This window comes from Homo sapiens, chromosome 18 (genome assembly GCF_000001405.40).
Source record: "Homo sapiens chromosome 18, GRCh38.p14 Primary Assembly".
NCBI classification, from domain to species: domain Eukaryota; kingdom Metazoa; phylum Chordata; class Mammalia; order Primates; family Hominidae; genus Homo; species Homo sapiens.
In genome coordinates, this window is record NC_000018.10 from 8813485 (window position 1) to 8838583 (window position 25099).

The 25099-nt window shown below is 45.6% G+C and overlaps 1 protein-coding gene across 33 annotated transcripts in view, besides 3 other annotated features; it reads left to right on the top strand.

Annotated features, from left to right (window-relative positions):
- MTCL1 (microtubule crosslinking factor 1) overlaps positions 1-19294 on the top strand; it is a 127223-nt gene extending 107929 nt beyond the window's left edge. For 19 of the 33 annotated variants that reach the window (XM_024451110.2, XM_024451113.2, XM_024451114.2 and 16 more), the window contains 4 exons: positions 5479-5775; positions 7983-8014; positions 11215-12748; positions 18123-19294. In XM_024451110.2, coding sequence (XP_024306878.2) covers positions 5479-5775; positions 7983-8014; positions 11215-12748; positions 18123-18356 — 2097 coding nt within the window. In that variant the 3' untranslated portion in view covers positions 18357-19294. Of the gene's footprint in view, positions 1-5478; positions 5776-7982; positions 8015-10686; positions 10875-11214; positions 12749-14070; positions 14127-15423; positions 15482-18122 lie in introns of those variants that run through there. The other 14 variants (XM_011525640.4, XM_024451117.2, XM_047437395.1 and 11 more) reach the window with 5 other exon arrangements.
- Positions 5153-5654: an enhancer, noted in NCBI's record as "H3K4me1 hESC enhancer chr18:8818635-8819136 (GRCh37/hg19 assembly coordinates)". NCBI's record gives its function as "activates a minimal SCP1, AML or CMV promoter by ChIP-STARR-seq in primed H9 embryonic stem cells {active_cell/tissue: H9 hESC(primed)}" and the evidence as "EXISTENCE:reporter gene assay evidence [ECO:0000049][PMID:30033119]".
- Positions 16456-16979: an enhancer, noted in NCBI's record as "H3K4me1 hESC enhancer chr18:8829938-8830461 (GRCh37/hg19 assembly coordinates)". NCBI's record gives its function as "activates a minimal SCP1, AML or CMV promoter by ChIP-STARR-seq in naive H9 embryonic stem cells {active_cell/tissue: H9 hESC(naive)}" and the evidence as "EXISTENCE:reporter gene assay evidence [ECO:0000049][PMID:30033119]".
- Positions 16980-17502: an enhancer, noted in NCBI's record as "H3K4me1 hESC enhancer chr18:8830462-8830984 (GRCh37/hg19 assembly coordinates)". NCBI's record gives its function as "activates a minimal SCP1, AML or CMV promoter by ChIP-STARR-seq in naive H9 embryonic stem cells {active_cell/tissue: H9 hESC(naive)}" and the evidence as "EXISTENCE:reporter gene assay evidence [ECO:0000049][PMID:30033119]".
- Positions 19295-25099: the final 5805 nt, after the last annotated feature.

The window sequence follows — 25099 nt, forward strand, 5'->3', positions numbered from 1 at the left end:
AGGGTGGGTGGGGCTTGTGGGAGCGGGGGGATAACTTTTTAAAGGAATTTAAAGACTAAACTGGAAAGAGGAGGTTATTTCAGGTCTTATTCAATTGAAAACAAACTATAACTTTTAAGTTTGCCACTAAAGATGTGGTCACAGTGACTGCTCCAACTTGAATGGAATTGTTGTCATTAGAAAAGAAATTGCTGAATTCAGTTGAAAGTCAGGCTGTTTGCTGGTGAGTGTTCCTGCTGTGGATATTGCTGAGCTGTGATTAGATGGACCATTGTCAAGAGAGGTAGCTGGTAGCTCATCATCTTCAGCTAAACAAACAATTCAGAAACTCAGATGAATTTGGGGAGGAGGGGGGTAGTCATTTTTCTGCCAATATAACCATTCTCTGCATTGCATCAGACTTAGAACAGTTTGCATAGTTGCAGTAGTTCCTGAGGGATACACAAATTAAATTGATGAAGATTTGGAATTCTTCCCTGGCTGGATTTTTACATAGTATATATTTTGTTTATTTCAGCCAGTCACACACTTATAAATTTATGAGGTCTCAAGGAAATGTATTAATCAGTAAGAAATTGAGCTCAGGAAAAATAACCTCATTACTCTATTTTAAATACCCATAGAGCCTTTTGACAAATGTGCTCTATTATCCATAGACATGGTGCCTGTGTTACGCAGGTACAATGACAAAGGTGAGTGTATGCATGTGTTGGATAGGGCGGGAGGCAGAATGAACTAAATGGTAAGAAAGACCAAGAGGCTTTGGCTTGGAAACCACTAAGAAGAATAAAATACACCGCAGGTGAGCTATGATCCCCACTGCATTCCAGCCTGGGCGACAGACCGAGACCCCGTCTCCAAAAAACAAAAGAAGGAAAGTACACTGCAGATAGAAAAGCTGAAACTCTTCGTAGGTTTGACCACTTACACAAATGAGTCACCTTACTAATCTTTGATATTCCCCAAATCCTATCAAGAGGAATGCTGGCCATTTCCTTTCTGGCTTGGAAATGCAGCACTTGTGAAGAGTCTCCTGTATTAAATCTCCTGTGTATGTCGTTGCTCTATGGTTAGGTGGAAATTTTAGGGATAGAAGTGGCATATATTCTTTGAAAATGGCCACTAATTTATTATATCCAACTTAGTTGACCGGTGTCACAGTAACTCCAGGCAACTTGTCACCAGGGAGCTTCATTCTTGGCCCGTGCTCTAGGGCCACTCACTTTTTACATCCCTCCTGTACCCCAGTGAGGCCATCATGATCCCTGCCATGCCCCCTTTAGGGTGCCCTTCGCCTGTTAGCCATGGTGGCTTGTTGGACTTGTCACAGGCTTCATTTCTTTGGGAAGTCACACCTTGGATATAAATTAAGCAAGTCTTTTAGGTTTTTATTTTTACTTTTGGGAATGAAGAATTTCTAGTAAAGGAAAAATTAGATACATGTGGTGATACTCAACTTTCGAAAAGTCAGTGACTTACAGGAAACAACAGGTGCTGGAGAGGATGTGGAGAAATAGGAACACTTTTACACTGTTGGTGGGACTGTAAACTAGTTCAACCATTGTGGAAGTCAGTGTGGCGATTCCTCAGGGATCTAGAACTAGAAATATCATTTGACCCAGCCATCCCATTACTGGGTATATACCGAAAGGATTATAAATCATGCTGCTATAAAGACACATGCACACGTATGTTTATTGCGGCAGTATTCACAATAGCAGAGACTTGGAACCAACCCAAATGTCCAACAATGGTAGACTGGATTAAGAAAATGTGGCACATATACACCATGGAATACTATGCAGCCATAAAAAAGGATGAGTTCATGTCCTTTGTAGGGACATGGATGAAATTGGAAATCATCATTCTCAGTACTGTCGCAAGGACAAAAAACCGAACACCGCATATTCTCACTCATAGGTGGGAATTGAACAGTGAGATCACATGGACACAGGAAGGGGAACATCACACTCTGGGGACTGTTGTGGGGTGCGGGGAGGTGGGGGATAGCATTAGGAGTTATACCTAATGCTAAATGACGAGTTAATGGGTGCAGCACACCAGCATGGCACATGTATACATATGCAACTAACCTGCACATTGTGCACATGTACCCTAAAACTTAAAGTATAATAATAATTAAAAAAAAAAACATTAACATTAAAAAAAAAAAAAGAAAAGTCAGTGACTTAAAGATGAACCACAGCCTCATTTTGAGACTATATTTTGGAAAGGTAATAGTGGTCAGGAGCTGACCTCCAATTCCAGGTTATCAGTATTGAAACAGTTCGGCCAAACTGACAGCCTCAGAACCCAGTCCTCAAGGTGGACATCTTTGAGCATCATAGATCTGAAACACGTGAGTTTCGGGCATGCATCTGTTCATGAAATCTGTGTGATGGATCCCACAGTCTTTGTACAATGATGTCATTGCTGTTTTTAGAAGAGGATTGGTTACAAATGAACTGATGCTTCAGACATGCAATGGTGGCTTTCAAAAATAAATCTGGCCTTTTCCCCAAAATATTAAACATTTTTAAAGAAGACTTCTTAAATCTCAGTGCCCCATCCGGAAATTGAGGTAAAGCAATTATAGGCATTCACCAGACTTCCTGAAAAGAGGATGTTGGTTCAAGTGTGTATGGGTGTATATAGATTTTGTTCATTTATCAGTTATTGGGTTGCTTGTTCATTTAACTTTTAGCTACATACTCCGTAGATAAATGAGAGATGTAACTGAACATTCTTCACAATGTATACTCTCAACATTTGACTACTTGGTAAGCCATATAATATAACCTTGACTGTGATAACCTAATACAGATGGTGAAAGCAGTAACACTAAATCCATTTTCCACTTTCAGAACACATGCTTCATACTTGTCCGCTGTCATTAAATTCCTACATAATTTCTGCACCACATGAGGCATGTTATGTGATGTATGACTGTGGGAATGTGGCTAAGGTCATATAACACATTTTATCTCTCTTATCAGCGTCTCTTGTCTCAATCCAAGTTTGATTGCGGGGTGGGGGTAGGAGACTTTTATGGAGTCACACTACATTTCTCCTTAGAATTGTTGAGTTCCCAGTTAACATGCAGATGATGTAAAACTTGCTGTTATATTTGCTGTACTTGTCAAGCAAAAAGGGTCATCCATTCATTCTCCTTCCAGTAACTTTCTTAAATCAGCTGCCATTCTTTTAAAAACTCCATTCTTTTAAAACCTGTTACAAAGTGGCCTTTTTTCTTTCTACCAGTCTGGGGAAGGTGACACTCTCGAGGGTTTATTGTTTCCTGTATTAAAATACAAATCTTTAAAATGTTCGACTTGCATTAAAAGTTGTTTTACTGCAAGATTGCAAGTAGGTGCTGATGCTGGCTGAAATGACTCCTATAGGAAACCCTCCCTCTCTGAGGACTCGTTCTATTACAACACCCCAGAGGCATCTTAGCAGCAGATATCTCCACCACAACCACTCCAGTTCAATTTTAGGAAACCTAACACTTAGCAGCTTGAGTACAAGTTGCTCCTGGCTGCCTGGGTTTATTTTTGAAATCCTACTTTACTGAGTTAGAAGGTGCTTGTTCATAGCCCTCCTCTTTAGTCATTCTTTTCCCCCTTCACTCACACCCTCAGTGCACATTTGCAGCTTCAGATGGGATTCTTGCATTTTAATTTCTTGCCCAAAATAGCTTAGAGATGATCATGTGTTGAAACTAAATTGTGCCGACATGCATTAAATGAACATATAAAAAGCCTTCCCTTTTTTTTTTTTTTTTTTTTTAAAGAAAGCAGTTAGCATCTTTAAGACAACTGCAAAGAACTGTGTCATCATCAGGGAGGTGGAGGAGGAGAGAGCAGAGGGGCAAAGCTAAAACGTAGAGTTTTTAGGTTTTGCTGGGTCCCTAATTTGACTGTGAACTGCCTCAGATGCTAACGTGTCAGCTTTGGCTGAATCAGACTCCATCTTTCTCAAAGGTAAAGATAAATCTCTGTTCTGCCACCTTAGAAATCACTAACAATGAGCAAACGTCCTTTTGTCTTTACTGTCTCATATGGCTTTCTTCCTGACTATACAGAAACCATATTTACGTCCAACTTGTGGATGAATGCTCCAATTAGGACACAGAGATGCAGTTTGTAGTGATGCTTAAAAAAAAATGAATTGATCTGCATTCAAGGAGGTTTTAGAATTTCCTGGAACGGTCTCAGCACTTGAGGACTTCAAATCATTATTTGGCCACTCCTTCAGGTCAAATCCAAATGTCACTTTCATCGTTCAGATACTTTGCTTATTCAAAAGAGCAGTCAATCCAGTAGTGTGAGCTTGTCATCCAATAAAGGCACCATTAAAGATTCATAGGCGGAAATAGCTTCAGGTCTCAGTTGTGCTTTCTGTGGCTGTTTTAGAAAGGGAAGCAATGAGGAGGGATCAGAAGAATGGAGTGGAAGCTGGTGAGGGCTCCTCTGGGGAGGGAGGCCGTGCGCCCTGCAAGCCATTTGCCTGCCTGCCTCAGCAGTTCCTTGTGATTTCATATGGGCTCCCTTCCTGAGCCACCTCCACGAAATCTCCATCTAGTGCCGCAAAACAGCCCAGAAAGGCATAATGCCCTTATGTGGGCTGGGCTCCCACTAGACGGCATGACTCCGGTGAGCCCACGTGCACAACCCATCTTACAGATAAGGAAACTGAGCTCAGGAGAGTCGGGAACTTGCACCTGCCTGCAAACCAGCAAGCCACACGTTAATGGTTCCAACTCAGGTCTTCTAACTCCAGGTGGCCCTGTGCTTGCCCACTACCGCTTCTTGAGTTCAACCAAGTCAGGGAAAAAAGTATGACTCTAACGTAATGTGGCTTTTTTTTTTTCTTCACTCAGTCATACCAGATCTTTACTTGCGTTATAGCTAAGTTTGTATCCTCTCAAATAAAGTGTAAGTTATGTTTAACACCAAATGGTTACAAACTCAAGTTTGCTCACTTGAATTACTGATAGGACCTGTTCCACATGCCCTGGGGCTAGTTAGGAAAATCAGATTCACACTCAGAAGTTTGCTATCACTGATAGTATTCCACTGAGTATGTCTTCACTTCTGAAGGAAGTTCCAAAGAGAGTTTTAAACATGTTCTTTAACAGTATTAGATTAAAAAATAGTAATAAATGTAAAATTTCCCATGAGCACAACACTCAGAGTTATGTACAATAACACATATATTGGTGTCAGAAAGAGTTCACCATACTCGTACGTGGTTAATGCAGATTTTCTGGGCCAGATAAAATTGTGGGTTTTGTAAAGCATCTGTAATGTTGTGTTACATTTTGAAATTAAGATCAGAACTTTAAGAACATTTGCTTCTCACAATATTTTTCAAACTGACCTATGTGTAATTGCAAATTGTGGAGAAACGATGTTCTTAGGGAGACCATCAGACAGAAAAGTGAGGCTAATTATTTTCATTTTTAAAATTCTCAAGTTGCAGAAAGAGAACAGTCCCCGGAGAGGTGGCAGTTTCCTCTGTGATCAAAAAGACGGCAACGTTCGCCCCTTTCCCCACCAGGGAAGCCTCCGCATGCCCCGTCCAGTGGCCATGTGGCCTTGTGCAGATGCTGACTCCATCCCGTTTGAAGACCGGCCGCTGTCCAAGCTGAAGGAGTCGGACAGGTGCTCGGCCAGTGAGAATCTCTACCTGGATGCCTTGTCCCTGGATGACGAGCCAGAAGAGCCACCAGCCCACAGGCCCGAGAGGGAGTTCAGGAACCGCCTCCCTGAGGTCAGCCAGGTTTTGTCCATCCTAGTTAACCACTGTGGAATGAGGGAGCCGTCATGAAACCTAAGAGGCATCTGCCAGATTCCTCTCCTGGCAGGCTCTAGCACTTTTGCATACAGCAACCTCCGAATTGAGTAAAAATGAAATCTTCACAACACCAAGGGTTTTGCTTCACCCTAAATTAGCATGCTCTGCTGTCAGTTTAACTTTGCCCCCTTGTTTCAGGTTTAGAAATACTGGACTAGAGTCCTATACAAAAGGAAGGTCTCACAAATAAGTGTGTCCCATAAAACACACAAGAGGAAGTAAATAATTCTGGGAAGTGTATATGCTCAACTTTTTCTTTTTTCTTTTGATTTTTTTGGAGATGGAGGTCTCACTCTCTTGCCCAGGGTGGAGTGGAGTGTCTGATAACGACTCACCACAGCCGTGACCTCCTAGGCTCAATTGATCCTTCCCCCTCAGCCTCCTGAGTAGCTGGGACCACAGGCACATGCTACCATGCCTGGCTAATTTATTTTGTTTTATTTTTTAAGTAGAGACAGGGTCTCCCTATGTTGCCCAAGCTGGTCTCGAACTCCTGGGCTCAAGTGATCTGTCTGCCTTGGCTTCCCAAAGTGCCGGGATTACAGGTATGAGCTACCACACCCAGCCTCAACTTTTCTTGAAATAATAGTACAGTCTTCTGAGTCTAGAAAACTAATAACCAAAAATATTCTGGGCAAAGGGAAAAAAATCCAACACTTAGAAACCTTACATAAATTAGACCACCAAATGGGTGAGCTAAGCTGTAGACATTTCCATGGCACAGCGTTAGTTATGTTTTTCTGGTTTTAATATTTTTAAAACCTTGTTTTAAAAGTTGTTCTAGGGCCGGATGTGGTGGCTCATGCCTGTAATCCCAGCACTTTGGGAGGCCGAGGTGGGCGGATCACGAGGTCAGGAGATCGAGACCATCCTGGCTAACACGGTGAAACCCTGTCTCTACTAAAAATACAAAAAAATTAGCCAGGCGTGGTGGCGGGTGCCTGTAGTCCCAGCTACTTGGGAGACTGAGGCAGGAGAATGGCGTGAACCCAGGAGGCGGAGCTTGTAGTGAGCCAAGATCGCGCCACTGCACTCCAGCCTGGGCGACAGAGCAAGACTCCATCCAAAAAAAAAAAGTTGATTCTAGGACTCATTACCTGTGAAGCAGTTCAACAGTTGCTGCACCTATCATTTGGTCTCCTAAACACTCAAGACTTAGAAGAGTTCATATCAAATAGTGTTATTGAAGTATGCAGAAATTATATTTCACCCACATCAGTAAGGTCAAATGCCTTATCCTCAGCAATGTGTACCAGGTTGATAGGACATTGCCACAGTCCCACCCTGTCTGATCTATTGGCAATCTTATACAGTCCGATTACATAGTAGAGGTAACGTGGGGTGGGGTCAGGAGCCTGTGCGTGGGTTCCAGCCCACTGGACCCTGCATGGCAGAGACAAGGGGCATGCTCATTAAGGGGAAGGGTACCCCTTGCTATTTACTGTCTTGAAAAATATGCTTCCCTTACTGTTAGTCAGAGTCTTGCTGCTTCAAAACCACATCAGCACAAGAGTGTTTTCTCAGCAGACAACCTCGTGTTTATGCCGTTCTCTACAAACACAGCTATCATTCTTCTTAAAGGGGAAGGCACTGTACTTTGCCTCTGATTCTAAATGGGAATGTTTAAAACCAACCAAGTGCCCGAGTCTAAGGATGTCACGCCAACTTCTACAGCAAGATCGGGACCACTAACGTTACTCTATCACCTTCCATCTTTCTCTCTAACATAACACATGCACACTCTCTCTCTCTCTCTCAGTCTCACTCTCACACTTAGGTTGTTACAAATCCCGCTTTGAAATTCATGTAGTCAGTGAGGTCCTTTGAGGAAGCACAGAAGAGCCACCTCCTCCATGACAAAGTTTATAGCCAGTTGTTCTCACTCATGTGGGCTTCTCCCTGGACTACAGAAGCTCCAGCCCCTCATCATGCTGTGGACTCGCTTTGATGATTGTACTTTAAAGGCCTCAGGGCAGTAGCACTCCTAACCAGAGCTTGGCCTCAGTGCACATTTTAAATGGTGGTTTCCTGGGGGTGCAGAGCAAACAAATCACTTAAGTACATTCAGGGCTTCTGGACAACCAAAATTAACCGATTCAGATGAAGTTATTTCTTCTTTATAGGAAGAAGAAAATCACAAAGGAAATCTTCAAAGGTAAGTAAGATTGATGAAAATAATAGATTACTAGAATAAAAATGTCTTGGTCTTAAAATGTTGTTTTGTCAATGCAGTCTATTTTACCACTCTCTTCAAAATGACTTAAAATTATGCCACTTCTGAAGAAGTGGCTGCTTTATTATTCATTTCATAAACATGGTATTTTTGATTATTAACAAAGAAGTTAGACGTGCTGTGTCACATGTGTATGAGTTTTATGGTAAGGACTTTCCAGTTGTTGTTGTGTTATGTATACAAAGGAATGCTTGTGTTGAGTGGTTTTTGAAAGGTCCATGGAAACCTCTCTTTTCTCATTTAAAGTCTGGGAAAACTCTCTTTTGTATGCTGTGAGATGCTTTATACACTGTATTTAAAAGCTCCACTAAGAGAATTTATTAAAATATTTTCTGGCAGTAGTCCTTGAAGAAGATATATAGTGGTTGATGTGGTTGTTAGTTACACACCAGTTTTTTCCTCCCCAGTTTAATTTCCTCCAGTTTTACTTTTTCATCATTCTCCAAATGAATACATACCGTTTCTACTACATGAAATTTCTTCTCAGGCAATTCAGCATTTCCAGATCGCCTCATCCTTGATTTTCCTCTGAACTTCGAGTCTGTGAATGACTGTCCTCTTCCCATTTGCTCCCTGCCAGATCTCTGCAGCACCTAGCCATGCCTGTGGCACACTTCTGTCCTTCACGCTGTCTTCTCTGGTCTTTCTTGGGTGGTACAGGACAGTACTTGAGAGCTCAGGCTCTAGAGCCAAACTGCCTGGGTTGGTTGGTTGGTTGGTTGGTTGGTTGATTTTTGAAATGGAGTCTCGCTCTGTCTCCCAGGCTGGAGTACAGTGGCACAATCTTGGCTCACTGCAACCTCTGCCCCCTGGGTTCAAGCAATTCTGCATCAGCCTCCCAAGTAGCTGGGATTACAGGCAAACCCCACCATACCCGGCTAATTTTTGTCTTTTAATAGAAACAGAGTTTCGCCATGTTGGCCAGGCTGGTCTCGAATTCCTGACCTCAGGTGATCCACCCGCCTCAGCCTCCCGAAGTGCTGGGATTACAGGCGTGAGCCACTGTGCCCAGCCCAAACTGCCTGGGTTTGAATCGCTTCTGCCTCCTTGGGTAGGTTACTCAACTGCTTTGTGCCTCAGTTTCCTCATCTGTATACAGGACGTATTTTGATTATCTTTTTTTTTTGCAGCTTATGTATGTTAATACACATAATGAAAGCAGCACATGGCACAAAACAAACAGTAAACAGAGTTTAGTCATTACACCCTCCCACCTTCCCCGTTCACAGCAGCAGCCACATCAGTGTTTCCGGTTAGGCTTTGGAGCAACTGTACTTCACCACTCAAGCCATCAACTTTTATGCTTTCAAAAGTAACACATGCTTGTTATAAAATGTAAATATTGGCTGAGGCAGGAAAATTGACCGAACCCGGGAGGCGGAGGTTGCAGTGAACCGAGATTGCGCCACTGCACTACATCCTGGGCGACAGAGTAAGACTCCGTCTCAAAAAAAAAAAAAGATAGATAGATAGATAGATAGTCTCAAAATATCCAAAGTGGAAACTGGATGCGCCCTCCCCACTGTCCCCATGTCCTCTGATTCTGACTGCCCGGTATGTTTCCACCATACTCTCTTCGTTCCACCTGCAAGCGCCTACACATGCTCCAGATGTATCCCGGGTTTTCTCATCATGGTTTTGTTTGCTTTGGCCACTGCTGAGGTTAATGCCTCTGCTTTCTCTGTCTTTATCATCTCTGTTCCACCATATCCATCCATGCCCCAGAGGCACTGAGTTCCCACCCAGGTAGGTGCCACTGATTTAACTCTGAGACAGTTCCTCTGTGGGCAAAAGTGGGAGTTAGATGAGCTATGTCCACAGAAATGTGGAAAGGACCAGGGTGTTGGCATGTGTCCGGCACTTACAGTCCCCAGCGAACAGTGTTCTGAAACTCATCATTAATTCAGCAACTCCTTGAATTGAGAAGAGGGAAATTCATACTTGCTGGAAAGCTCATGACCTTGGGACAAATCAACCCATCCCTACCATTGCCCTTCCTTTCCGGCACTGGATATAGCCAGCTTGTGGTTATTCAAAGCACCACTGGACAGTTTGTAGATTATTTCTAACAACAAAAAGATAACAAGATGGAATGCCTAACGATGTCACTTTTAGCCTGCTGTTTTACCCCGTGGTGCTGACCACATGGACGGGTGCCTTGCCCCCAAGGTGAAGCCAGCTGTCAGCAAAGCTGCCCAGAGCTTTGCTGGTTCTGTGTACCAGCGCACACGGTACAGGGACTTGCTCAGAGCAGACCCCAATTCTGGCCTCATCATCATTAATAGGTCCTATGGAGGAGTGGTCCATACACTCAATCTGGGACCCCTTCCACAGGGCCTGCACTAGTCTAGATCCCTAGGTTTAAGCCTGTGCTTTGTGGGGTGAAAGGAGTATCAGTATGTCCTGTAAGAATCTGGACAGTGAGTCTACAGACACCTCATCGCCCCATCCCACCCCAGCTGGAGGGATTCCAGGCCAAAGAGGTTCTGTTGCCTGAGCCAGCAGGCACAGGCAGCCCCAGCCCCGTTCCTGACCACCACTTCTTTGCCCTGGTGGTAGTCGTGCCCGAGCACTCCGGCCACTTTCTGTCTTAGCCTGGAAGCATTGCTGGCACCCCTGCAGCACCTGCCAGGCATGTGAGAGGCATTCAGCGAACTCATGGCAAATTGAAAGTGCTAACACATGGAAGAATCCACACCAAATCTGTGTCCATCAGGTGGCAGCTTGCCAAAACCTGGCCATCGCCGTGGCTCACCGTCTTCACCCTTCAGCTGTGGTCCGAGTGAGTCTCCTGAGAATTCTCACTGAGGCACTGAGGCCTCAAGTGATTCTCCTGTCTTGGCCTCCCAAAGTGTTGGGATTACGGGTGTGAGCCAGAGTTGGTTGTATTAAATTCTGACCAATGCAAGGCTTCAGGAACAATTCCAGAGCCACGCAGAGTCCAATAAATGCCCGCAGGGTAAGTCTGTGAGTGCAGCACATGAGCAGCTGACAGTGTTCTCCTGGTGTGGGTGGCAGCGGGTGCCTTCACTGACACTTCTCATGCAGGGCAGGACATGGGTGTTGTGGTGTGTCAGAGGCTCCCTGGCAGGTACTGACACCCTCTTTTCTGCTTTTCCCAGGGCGGTGTCCGTGTCCTCCATGTCTGAGTTCCAGCGTCTAATGGACATCTCCCCCTTCCTGCCTGAGAAGGGCCTGCCGTCCACCAGCAGCAAGGAGGATGTCACCCCACCCCTGTCTCCAGACGACCTCAAGTACATCGAGGAGTTCAACAAGAGCTGGGACTACACACCCAACAGGGGCCACAATGGTGGGGGGCCGGACCTTTGGGCCGACAGGACCGAGGTGGGGCGGGCAGGGCACGAGGACAGCACAGAGCCTTTCCCCGACTCCTCCTGGTACCTAACCACAAGTGTCACCATGACCACGGACACCATGACCAGCCCAGAGCACTGCCAGAAGCAGCCACTGCGGAGCCACGTCCTCACCGAGCAGTCGGGGTTGCGCGTGTTACACAGCCCGCCTGCCGTGCGCAGGGTCGACAGCATCACGGCGGCAGGTGGTGAGGGTCCCTTTCCCACAAGCAGAGCCAGAGGGAGCCCGGGAGACACCAAGGGAGGCCCTCCAGAACCCATGCTCAGCAGGTGGCCTTGCACCTCCCCCAGGCACTCCCGGGACTATGTGGAGGGGGCACGGCGCCCCCTTGATAGTCCCCTCTGTACCTCCCTGGGGTTTGCCTCCCCACTGCACAGCCTGGAGATGTCCAAGAACTTGAGTGATGACATGAAGGAGGTGGCCTTCTCTGTCAGGAATGCCATCTGCTCCGGCCCTGGCGAGCTGCAAGTCAAGGACATGGCCTGCCAGACCAATGGGTCCCGGACGATGGGGACCCAGACTGTTCAGACCATCAGTGTGGGCTTGCAGACTGAAGCCCTGCGTGGCAGCGGTGTCACCAGCAGCCCCCACAAGTGTCTCACTCCAAAGGCTGGGGGCGGTGCTACACCCGTGTCGTCTCCTTCCCGGAGCCTTAGGAGCAGACAGGTGGCCCCTGCCATCGAGAAGGTGCAGGCCAAGTTTGAACGCACATGCTGCTCCCCCAAGTATGGTTCTCCCAAGCTGCAGAGGAAGCCCCTCCCCAAAGCCGACCAGCCAAATAACAGGACGTCACCAGGGATGGCCCAGAAAGGGTACAGTGAGTCAGCCTGGGCCCGCTCCACCACCACAAGGGAGAGCCCCGTGCACACCACCATTAATGATGGCCTCTCCAGCCTCTTCAACATCATTGACCACAGCCCCGTGGTGCAGGACCCCTTCCAGAAGGGGCTGCGGGCCGGCAGTCGGTCTCGCTCAGCAGAGCCCCGACCAGAGCTGGGCCCAGGCCAGGAAACAGGCACCAATTCCCGAGGAAGGTCGCCTAGCCCCATTGGGGTGGGGTCAGAGATGTGCAGGGAGGAAGGGGGAGAGGGCACGCCAGTGAAGCAGGACTTATCTGCTCCCCCTGGCTACACGCTCACTGAGAACGTGGCCCGGATCCTCAACAAGAAGCTGCTGGAACATGCCTTAAAGGAGGAGAGGAGGCAGGCTGCCCACGGGCCCCCGGGTCTCCACAGTGACAGCCACTCGCTGGGGGACACAGCCGAGCCAGGGCCCATGGAGGTAATGAATGCTGAGTGCCCCACACCCTTCCCCACCAGCTCTTCCCTTTAGCTGTGGGGCAGGTTGGGACTTGGGATTGTGCTCTGTCATTTGATCTCAGGAATCGTCCATGATTGGTTATTGGGAGCTGGGGAGGTGTTAGGTTTATGGGAGAATAGAATAGGCAGAAAAAGCCCTGAGCAACTTTTTTGAAGAAAATGTTATTTTATTGTCCTTGGGAAATCATATAGTACATGGTTTGATTTGGGTTCTGTCACCAGTCTTAAGTGATTGATCCTTATTTATCAGGGCATTTTATTTGGGGTCAGTTTGCCTTCTTTCTGTGTGAATTCGTGCACATGTACAAACTATGGGATAGTTGTGTCAGGCTTGCTGCATACTGCAGACCTTCATATGTGACAGCATGAGGTGAGCTGGAGAGGGTCTGGACCACATGAGCACGAGCACTTCTCATCAGGAGCCACAAGATCTCGATTCCTGGGCTGGCTTCCTTACAAAACAGCCATCTGGCAGCTCACAAATCACTTACCCTCTTTGTGGCCATGAGCCCCCCTAGCAGTAAAACCAAGTGAAACATATAGACAAAATCAAAATCCTACCCTAATACAATATGATTATCATTATTGCCCTTGATATTACTCACAAATCAATCCACTGTGAATTGGGTTCTGATGCACATCCACATGTGGTGTTTTTGTACACCACTTTACAAAACGCTTCCCATTTCCACTTCAACAATGAGCAAAATGAAAGCCTGATGTTGATGCTGGTGGTGATGGCTATGGTGATGCCACTTTGTGGTTCGTGCAGCACAGAGAGGACGTGTCTGTCCAGCGAGTGATTCCAACTCGCCAGGAGTCCGGATGAACAGGCTTCACACTGGGAACACCTGGCCCCATGAGCACTCTCCGAGCCAGGCTGCTCCCGCAGATGGCGGGGGTCAGAGGAGGAGGAGGACGGCAGCTTGCTCCTGGTCTGCCCGCTGCTTCCTCGCCAGGACCCAAGCAGCCCTGGCTTCATGGGCAGGGAGAGGAGGAAGGTGTATTGCCTGTTTCACCTGGCCCACGTTTCCCACAAGAGGGTAAATGATGGCTGTCTTCCCAGCCTGGCCCACCAATGAATGTTTAACTCAGAATGCAGGCTTGAAATCTGAATAGGTCAGACCTGTGGAACTGCCAATGGCTTACAGAAGTGGCAATTCCATATGGTTCACACCTAATACAAATATTGATACTACATGGCCTACATGTTCCAAGATCTGAGTCTTTGTGATAAAGTTGTTTGCATGCTCTGAGGACAAACTGCTGGTTGAATGTTCTCAGGTGACAAATGGTGTCTTCTTTGGGCTACTGTTACCCCATCCTTCTGGGGTCCTCAGGTAAGTCCTCCTGCCGTGGAACGGTCTGTTTATATGTGAGTGCCCTGCCTTCTTAGGGCTCTGAATCTCAGTTGAAATTGGGGCTATGTCACAAAGCATTAACCGGCTGTGTCTGTATTGTCTGTTTATATTACACACCAAATAGAAATTATTCTTTAAGAACCAAAAAAATGCTTTGAATTACGAATAGTGAATCCTGCAAGCAAAAATAGGTTCTTGATGGAATCCCAGCATTATGGCATGAAAACGGTTTTATCAGTACAAAGTGGCGCCCAACCCCTTTTGTCCTCCGTAAAGTATTCATTTAGATTTTCTCTTCACTTGGTGTGTTTGCCACCAAAAGAGATGATGTGAAGGGAGCACAGTTGCAGGGCCTCAGAGCGGGCATGGAGCACTCATCGGCAGCATCTAAATGCCACGGGCTCTTTTTTCCATTTCTGTTGGAATTTTCCTCGTTCTAGATTCCAGTGGGATTGTTCTGAATTGATGTAATATATTCAGGCCATTGCAACCCCTTCCCATTGCTCCATGAATTATGCAGTAGTTCTCGGTATGCGTTCCCAAATCCCCAGGACTACTTCTGATTCCAAGCCCACCCAGTGCGCTGTTGCGGAATCTTTCCCCGAATGTTCACTCAGGCATCCACACCCAGGAGTGATGCAGGTGACAAGAAATCTCCCTTTCTCACTGCACTGTCATCCCATAAGCCACTCGGGCCTCTTTTTCTCTTGACACCATGGCACTAGTTCAGCAGTGCAGAGAGAAGCCGTGAGGAGTTCCGGTGTGAAGAGAAAGAATCTGAAAATGGAATGCTCTTCCTCCCTCCCCTAAGTGGAAAATGTGAGGGGAACTTTTTAGAGTAAGTGGCAGTAGCTTGGCTGTTGTGACCGAAACAAACGCAGCCGTATAATAGTCTCTGTTTTAGATACCAGTCATGCAATTTCCATATCTCTGTTTGCCAAAGTGCTGTTTGAAATGTTAAATGCTAAAGGGTGACTCGGAAGCATAGAAACTAGAGGGAGGTCTGTGACTCCTCCATGGAGTTTCCTTCTTCTCTCTGGGCAGATGGCAGAGGGCAGGCCTGTGTGCCTAGTGCCTGGCCACTTCCCCACACCTGCCTTGGAGTGAATGTGCTAGATCTGAGAGCCCGCAAGTCTCTCCTGGTGGCTACCCCTGAGCGAGAGGGATGGTCCTCTACCTCCGGGCTTGCTGACTTTAAACCTTTATTGTTCTCCTGTTTAAAAAACACTTTCCAACCTTCTTGCTTTTCTTTTCTTTCTCTGTCTGTTCTGTCCAGAACCAAACTGTCTTGCTAACTGCCCCCTGGGGACTCTAGCCCTGCCCGCCTCACGCTGTAAGTGCTTCCTTCCTTGTTTCCCAACTGTCTGGAGAGGTCGTGTTGTGTAACTCGCAGTTGGCACCTGACGCTCATCACCTGAGGGAGTTCTGCCCGGTGGCGGTACCCTCGCTCACCCCAAGTTCCAGGAGGTTCGCCTAAACCCAGGAACAGATTGATAAGGCCAGAGACTCATCTGCTCTGCTAGAGGGTTGACCACTCAATGCAAAGAAGGGTTTTTAGGTTATAGAGATTCTGCTGAGATTTCTCCGCTTTTGTACATTTGCAGCCAATATGCTTTCAGAGAATTGAGTAGATACTGGCCAGGAGGGGACATCCTAGGCACAGGGGTCTTGCCTGAGGGGGTCTTTGGGCCCAGCCACCCAGGACTGGTCAACATTTTGGTTATACGTGCACTGGCATGTGCTGAAATGAGGTGTGACCCTAATGTGATAAGGCTTTTGTTTTTCATTTTTCAACAACCATACCACAAGGAATGAACCCAAATATATCTTGTCCTTCCAAGTGAGCACCGTGGGTGACAGAGTAAATGCTCAATAAATATTTGTTGAATGAATAAACAACAAAATCATCCCCACTCCAAATATCTTGAGACCTTCCCTCAGAATTGCTTTCAGAGTCTGAGTCAAAGCACATGAGAAAAGATATACTTTTTGATCAAGGATATAGTCATCCACCCACCTCATCCACTGGCCTTGACTCGAAGCCAGTAGTATCTGTTGTCAAATACAACAGATGTATCCCCATGAAAAGATGACAGGGAACACAGGGAGGGTCAATTCCCAGAAACGTGCTACAGGGGCAGCATCCCAGGACACCATGCCATGCAGCGACCACAGTGGCTTCTCGGGAAAGCGCAGCATCGTTTGCTTGTACATGCCGGTGTGTTACTAAGGAAAAGGTTGATTCCCTTGAATGCAGACTCACAGTGATTCTTCCTTCACAAGCAGAGGCTGGCAAAGAGGGGGTACTGAATGGTCTCATAAAAAGCCTGCTCTTCAGCACCAGCCAGGCGGAACGGGATACGGTGGTGTCAGATAAACCTATGACAGCAGCTTCACCAACACACAACACACACAGAACAGATACACAATACACAACACACACACTACTTCTATAACAAGGGGAGCGCAGACACAAAACACACAGATTTCCCAAACCGTGTGTCCCAGTCAAGCACTGTGGGCTGCAGTGAGATGAGGACACAGGAGCACCTTGGGTTAGTCTGCATCTTGGTGGCTGGTGGCGCTGGTGGAGTTTTAACTGGAGAGGTATTTCTGGTTGTCACGGTACTGTTAGCATAATGCTTTGGGAACAGAAGCTTCTCCCTGTGGCCGTATGAAGTTCCAGCCACAAAAGCAGCAGGGAGCATGAAGCATAGTCTCCAGGGCCACTGTTCCTTTTCTGCTGACCCCAGAGGGAGGCAGGGAAACCGCTCGCCCCATTGCTCTTCTGGAAGCCTGTGGCTCCCACGCTGTCCTCGGGCCATGCTGTCTCTGCCGTGTTCCATCTTCTCCCGAGTGACACTGCCCATTCCGTGCAGCCGTCTGTCCTTCCCCCGCTGCTGCTCCCCTGCACCACTGGCTGGGCTGTCCTCATCCTGGTCTTTTCAGTTGCTTGTCACATCTTTTTAAATCCTCCAACTCACTTCCTTTCTTTGAGGGTCCTTGTTCTCTGTCATCCTTCCTGTGCCTTCCATTCAGTTCACCTCAAGCTTCCAGTGTCTGAGTGTCATTCCAGCCAGCGGGCTCCATGCTGGGCAACTCAGTTTTCTCATGCCACAGCTTTTTACATTTCTGTGTATCAGCAAATTCCAAATTTGGGTGTCCTGGTTTTGTAACATGTAAGGACAAGGAGCTCAACATTCTTTAAAAACAAAGTAGCTTGAGAATAAGGATTCTAGGTGATTTGCACATGGTTGAGTGTGTCTTGCATCACCTGCTCGCAGAACATTAGGATGCCTGAAACACAAAACCACCAGTACATTCTGATTCTACCTTTTTAAAATGCTGCTGCAATTGAACAGTCATTAAAGAAAACCAGACCCAAATTAAAATTTCTGCCTGCAGCATTTTTGCCATGTTGTGGGAGTTTGTTTAAGCTACTCCCAGTCAATTTCAAATAAACAGTAGCAGAGTTCGTTTAAGACGACTGCCATTGCTAACACAGCTGAATGAAATCAGAGGTCTCTTTGTGGGCTCCCAGTAGATCCAGGCCCTGTAGGACCAGTTCACTTGTCCACTGTAGCTAAATAGATCATACAAAAGGGCCAAATGAACAGATCTACCAGATAGGAATATGATGAAGTGGCCTGTGGAGACCGCTGCCACAGTCACTGTGTCATGCCTTCTGTATACCCCAGCCCAATTCTAAAGGAGCTTTGCAAGCTGACTCATCTCACAGTATTGCTGTGTTTAATCATAATTGGTCTCTTCCCATTCATGTCACTGATCATTTGTGTTGAATTCTTTATTATTTTAAGTTATTCTGCATGAGCATAGAAAGTAGTTAATATTCACGAGTTGCCTGTGGTGTATACTTCATCTCACTTGAGTCTGTTGAGAAGTGTGTTTGGGGGAATCATCCACTGGTGACACTGCCGGTCTGAGTAACCCTGTCTCCCTTTCTCGGCTCTGAAGGAACTACCTTGTTCTGCACTAGCTCCATCCCTAGAGCCCTGCTTCTCCAGGCCCGAGAGACCAGCAAACCGTCGCCCTCCGTCCCGTTGGGCCCCACATTCCCCCACTGCCTCACAGCCTCAGTCACCCGGAGACCCGACGTCCTTGGAGGAGCATGGTGGCGAGGAGCCGCCCGAGGAGCAGCCACACCGAGATGCAAGCTTGCATGGATTATCACAGTATAATTCACTGTAATTTGCATAACCACACCATCACCATGAACAAAACTCTGCCCAACAGGAGAGATCTAGTTTTCTCAAGGTCAAAGAATGTTTTTTAAAAACACAAAGCTGCTGAATGTTCAACCTGTGAAACTGAGATGTTTCTAGAATGAAACAGTAAATGTGCCTGTAATAACTTAATTTTTTTCATAGCTCAGAAAACTATTTTTGTCTCCATCTTTTTTACACACAGTATATTAAACGAAAAGGTAAATAAGGTATAAATAGATTTAAAAAATAAAAGTTTTAAAAAATGTACATTTTAAGAGATTCTGAACACCCTCGCTGTCAATACCTGACTGCCTCTGTTAAATTTGCACTGTTACATTTTGGTTCAGTTTATTTCCATGTTGAATTAGAGTGGATTAAGTTAATTTTATTTTGTCAGTGTTACTGTTTTTTACGAATTTTTTAATGCTTCAGACTGTCTGATTCAGTGAACTTTTTGTAGTGAAAAAGCCATGAAGCCAGTAGACAAGACAGATATTCTGTATGCTGGAGGGGATACAGGATGATTTTGAAAAGGTACAAAGTCCTCAGTGGGCTTAGAAAATTCACTGTATGATCCTTATATTATCCTACTTGGCTTGCACGTCTTCGGGTGCATGTATATACCGCTACTGTGTCCTCGCCATCACCTAAATGTGACTCAGTCTGTTCCACTGTAATATGTTGTGAATTTCCTTGTACTGTACTTTTATTGTTGGTCTTCTTGCATCGATGATCCAACAGCAACACCATTTTTAAATTATTGTGAAAAGATTAACTGGCAATGTACAGAGTTTACTCAAAGTTTTCTTAAGGGAAAACACTACAAAAAGTCACAAGGATACCAAATGGAAACACATGATGATGCCTCTGGGTCTGTATGAGACCGTGATGAAGTAGAAATAAAGCCCTTCTGAGATGGCAGCATGTCTCGGTCTCTCATTTCACACACCCTCCATCTTTTCCTAAGGACTCAGATGGAAAGTTTTCCATAGCTAGGGGAATGAGGGAGAGAGGAGATCATGTAAAGAGGCAACAGCTGCTAATATATCTTGCTGGGAATGCACTCTTTGGGTACGTGATCATGTTGCAGTTTTACTGTTCCCCGTAAGAGAGTCCTAGGATAGAGAGACAGCTTTATTGTTGAAAAGCCAAAACTGTGGTGTGGGCAGGGATGTGAGGAAACTGGTTACCTACAAGTCAGAGTGTGCCCGGCCTCTCTGCCCGCTCTGCTCATTAGGAGAGAGGGAGTGGCCAATAACTCTAGAAGAGGCCTTTCCATCTCTGATCCTGAGATGAGCCCGCCTCTCAGTGTTTGGTGGAGTAGAAAGAAGTGATGCTACTGAAGAGCCCAAAAAGAATGATTTCAGGCTGAAGCTTCTGGCTTTAGTATTTCATTTAGTGCTTCATTAACCCAACAATTTTCTTCTTATATAGATGAGCTGCTAATGTAATAGGCTATCCTAGCATTACCACAGCTTCATCCTTAAACTGAAATATTTTCAAAAAATAAAAACCAACAAGTGTTGGCAAGGATGTGGAGAAATTGGAACCCTTGAGCACTGTTGGTGGGAAAGTAAAATGGCCCAGCTGCTGTGGAAGACAGTATGACTTCCTCAAAAAGTTAAACATAAAATTACCATAGGATCCAGGGATTCCACTTCTGGGTATACACCCAAAAGGACCAAAAGTAGGGACTCAAACAGGTGTTTGCACACCTATGTTCATAGCAGCATTATTCATAATAGCCAAAAGGTGGAAACACTTCAGTTGTCCATTGACAGATGAATGGATCAACAAAATGTGGTATATACATATAAAGGGATACTATTCAGCCCTAAAAAAGGTAAATTCTGACGTACTACAACATGGATGAACCTTGAGGACATTATTCTAAGTGAAATAAGCCAACCACAAAATGGCAATTATTGTTTGGTTCCATGTATCTCGTTTATATATCAAGAGTAGTCAGAGTCAAAGAGAGAAAGGAAAACAGTGGTTATCAAGGGTTGAGGAGGGAATGGGGAATTGGTGTGTAATGGGTACACAGTGTCAGTTCAGGATGATGAAAGAGTCCTGGAAATGGGCAGTGGTGATGGTGCACAGTGAATATACTTGATGCCACTGAGTTGTACACTTAAAAATGGTTAAAATGATAAATGGCCTATAGATTTTACCACAATAAAAACTTTTTTTTTTTTTTGAGGTGGAGTCTCACTCTGTTGCCCAGGCTGGAGTGCAGTGGCGCCATCTCGGCTCACTGCAAGCTCCGCCTCCCGGGTTCACGCCATTCTCCTGCCTCAGCCTCCCGAGTAGCTGGGACTACAGGCGCCAGCCACCACGCCCAGCTAATTTTTTGTATTTTTTTTTTTTTAGTAGAGACGGGGTTTCACTCTGTTAGCCAGGATAGTCTTGATCTCCTGACCTCGTGATCCACCTGCCTCCGCCTCCCAAAGTGCTGGGATTACAGGCGTGAGCCACCATGCCCAGCTTAAAAACTTTTTTTTGAGATGGAGTTTCGTTCTTGTTGCCCCAACTGGAGTGCAATGGCGTGATCTCAGTTCACCACAACCTCCGCCTTCTGGGTTCAAGAGATTCTCCTGCCTCAGCCTCCCAAGTAGCTGGGATTACAGGCATGTGCCACCACGCCCAGCTAATTTTGTATTTTTAGTAGAGATGGGGTTTCTCCATGTTGGTCAGGCTGGTCTCGAACTCCCGACCTCAGAGGATCTGTCTGCCTCGGCCTCCCAAAGTGCGGGGATTACAGGCATAAGCCACCGTGCCTGGCCAATAAAAACTTCCAATAAATGCAAAATATAAATATTTCACTTTATCACTCTAGATATACCTGCAAACAAACAATCAGCAGGTCAGTAAATATTCATTGCCTATTCTGTGCAGATTGCAAATGCTGAGAGGTACATTGGTATTCCTTCAATTGGAAGCAACCAGCCACCAACAAGAAGGGAAGTTGTGGCTGTCACGACTGAGAGCCTCAAACCGTGCCATCAGGACTTTGCTCAGTCTCCTAACTCTGTCTACTCTGTATGGCTTTATACTCAGACAAGCATCACAAAAATTGGCAACAATGGTCCCTAGCTGCTGCTATTAGTTTAGCAACTCCTAGAGAAAGGGGATCTCTTACCAGGAGCTCCAGTGAAAGCCCAGGACCGATGATTCTCATTTGGTAGGGATTAAGTCTCATGTCTGGCTCTGAGCCAATCGTGGTGACGGGAAGACCCAGCAAAGGAAAAGCAGGGTACGATTAGAATAGAGGGCGTCAGAAAGGCAGTAAAGGCGTATACCACTGTGGGACACCCCAAAATTGCAAGGAAAAAGCTCTGAGCACCACAGAACTTGCCAACTGGTTGGAAGAGATAACATTCCCAGGCACAATAACAATAAAATGAAAAATGGTGTGGTAGAAATTCTAAGTACAGTAGGGCTTGAGTTAGGCTTGGCAGTACGGGAAGCATTCCAATGTGCAGGAGGAGAAGCAAGTGGGAGGTGGGAGGAGCAGAGGTGTGAGGGGCAGTAATAGACACAGGTCGCATTGGGCAGTGATGCAGAAACCAGGCTGGGAGCAGAACTTTCATCAAAAAAGCCACATCTGGCAGCACCAGTGCCTTGAAAAGCCGTCTGGGAACTTCTTCTCACATCTTATTTTCTAAAAGTTGGACATGTGTATTCTTAAGTCTAGGGTGGAAGCACTCCAACTGTTAAAGGCCAGGCAAGACAGTAGGATGAAATCATTTTCCACACCACTGTCCAGATGAATGCCAAGGCTGCTATGTGGGTCACACATGGTGTGAAAGGGGAGCAGCTGCCTGAAGGGAATGGCTTCATGAGCTGCCATGAATGTGCCAGTTGCTTTTATGCCCTAAAGAAAGCAGCAGAAGATTCCTCAAACATAGCCACAGACCACACGTCAGGCGTGCCCTGCCTCCTGGGTAACAGCCAGCACCACCAGCCCAGAGACATTTCTTGTCCAACTGCAGCCAAATTGGGCAATAGTGGCCACATTTCACCCTCTCTTCTTATCAGGAGGTAACATGTCAGCGTTTTCAGTATTATGCATCTATTTTTTATATCTGTGTACATCGTAATTCTATTTCTTAAACACATTTGCTTCAACCTTTTTTCCTGTAGAATGGCCTGTAATTCTTATGTAATACATTTGTTTCACCCTTTTTGTTCCTATACAATGAATGTAATGTTTACAAACTCCTTATTTTTTAAATTTAATTTGTTTTTAATTGTATATATTTAAGGTGTACATGATGTTTTGATATGCATATACAGAGTAAAATGACTACTATAGTCAAGGCAATTAACATATTAACATCTCACATAGCTATGGCAAGAGCACCTAAAATTTACTCTTTTAGCAAAAATCCCAAATACAATATTATTAGCTATAGTCCTTATGTTGTACATTAGATCTCTGCACTTTATTAAGCATGATAGAGTTATGCTTATTTATTTTGTTTAAAAAGCAACTAAGAAGTACAACTACCATTTTCTATTTTCCAGTTCACTGTTTTAAACTGTGGTAAAATACCCGTAACATTTATCATTCTTGCCATTTCAAAGTGTACAATTCAGTGGCATTTAGTATATTCACAATGTTGTGCAGTCACTACCACTATCTACTTACAGAATATTGTCATCACCTGAAAGGAAACCCCATATGCATTAAGCAGTCACTGCACCCAGCCCCTGGCACCCACTCATCTAATTCTGTCTCCATGGATTTGCCTATTCAGGATAGTTCATGTAAATGGAATCATGTATCATGTGGCTTTTTGTGTCTGGCTTCTTTCAATTAGCATAAAGTTTTGTTTTTTGTTTTTTGTTTTTGAGTTGGAGTCTCACTATGTTGCCCAGGCTGGAGTGCAGTGGTGCGATCTTGGCTCACTGCAACCTCTGCCCTCTGAGTTCAAGCGGTTCCCCTGCCTCAGCCTCCTGAGTAGCTGGGATTACAGGTGCCTGCCACCACGCCCAGCTAATTTTTTGTATTTTTAGTAGAGACGGGGTTTCACCATCTTGGCCAGGCTGGTCTTGAACTCCTGACCTCGTGATCCACCCGCCTTGGCCTCCGAAAGTGCTGGGATTAAGGCGTGAGCCACTGTGCCCAGCCTCAGTTAGCATAAAGTTATCAAGGTTCATCTGACACAGGATTTTTCTCAGCCACTTTGCCAACCAGGGACCTCCATGGCCAGAGATGCCCCCCTGCTGCCCGTGTCTCATTCAACCCCGGGCCTGCCACTGGAGGTACCCCACCCACTAAGCCCACCTGTGTTATAGCTTATACCCATGTTTGGCAGTTCCTGAACTCTTGTCCCACATCCAAGAAGAATAAAGATACACTGACAATTTGAAGGGTAAGGAGGGCAGAGAATAATTTTATTGAGTGATGGAACAGCTCTCAGCAGAGAGGGGCCATGGGGGTGGTCCTCCACCTCCATGGTTAGGTGGTTCCTCTCTCAGTGTGGCTGGGTCTGGGACTTTTATGGGCTCAGAATAGGGAGTGTGTGCTGACTGGTTTGTGAGTATGCAAAAAATATCAAAATGAAGACACTGCTCAAAGGTGGGCATGACAGTGTAGAAAACCAATTAGGAAAGGGTAGGTATATGTAAAATAGGTGAAAGGTGGGGATCAATCAAAGGAAAGCACACCAAATGGGAAGACAGGTTCTCAATCCGGTTCATGGATTTGACTTTTAGCTTGACTTTCAGGCTTTAACTGTCTTTGGCTTGGAGGTGGGATTTCACCAGGGACCTGCCCCATCTGCCTAGGCATTTGCCTGCCTCCTGCCATTATCACATCCATGTTGTAACATGTATCATTCATTCCATAAGGCTGCATAATATTCCACTGTGTAGATATATCACATTTTATTTATCCATTCATTGGTAATGGTATGTGTCTATCTGTAAAACAAAACCTTTGATTACCTTGTTTTATTTATTTTTAGAGACAGTCTCACCCTGTCACACAGGCTGGAGTCCAGTGGCACCATCACAGCTCTCAGGCTCAAGCAACACACCGCCACAACAAACTAACTTTAAAGAAAAATGTATTGTGTGGGCAGGGGTGGTAGAGGAGGAAGGTTGTTTCAGCGGGGGGAGGGTGTCTCGCTATGTTGCCCAGGCTCCTCTCCTACCTTGGCCTCCCAAAGGATTGGGATTACAGGTGTGACCCATTGCACCTGGCTGGTTACCTTAAACATCTTTAAGCATTCCCCCCAAAGAAGGTAATTCACAGTGAATCATTAGAACACTCAACAATCAGTTTACATGATTTAGGCACTTTGATGTCTTTAATCTTAAATCTTTCATCTTAGTTGTTTCAAGAGACCACCAATAGATATTTTATACTTGTCATGCTCTTCTTTGATTGCATTTAATCCTTTCAGCATCATTCTTTGAATGCAGTGTGTATCAGAATCCAGTATAGCAGGAAATTAGGCTCTGAATCATACACAAACTGGTCACTTGAGTGAATTTGATGACCATGGGTCTTTAGTGCACTCTGGTTCACTAAAATCAAGTGGCACTGAGAGTGACAAATCAGGATTTGAATCCTGGTTCACACACTTAAAGTAATGCAACCTCAGGCCATCTCTTTAATACTTATTTGTTTTTGTTCTGTTTTGTTTTGTTTGAGATGGAGTTTTGCTCTTGTTGCCTAGGCTGGAGTGCAATGGCGCAATCTCAGTTCACTGC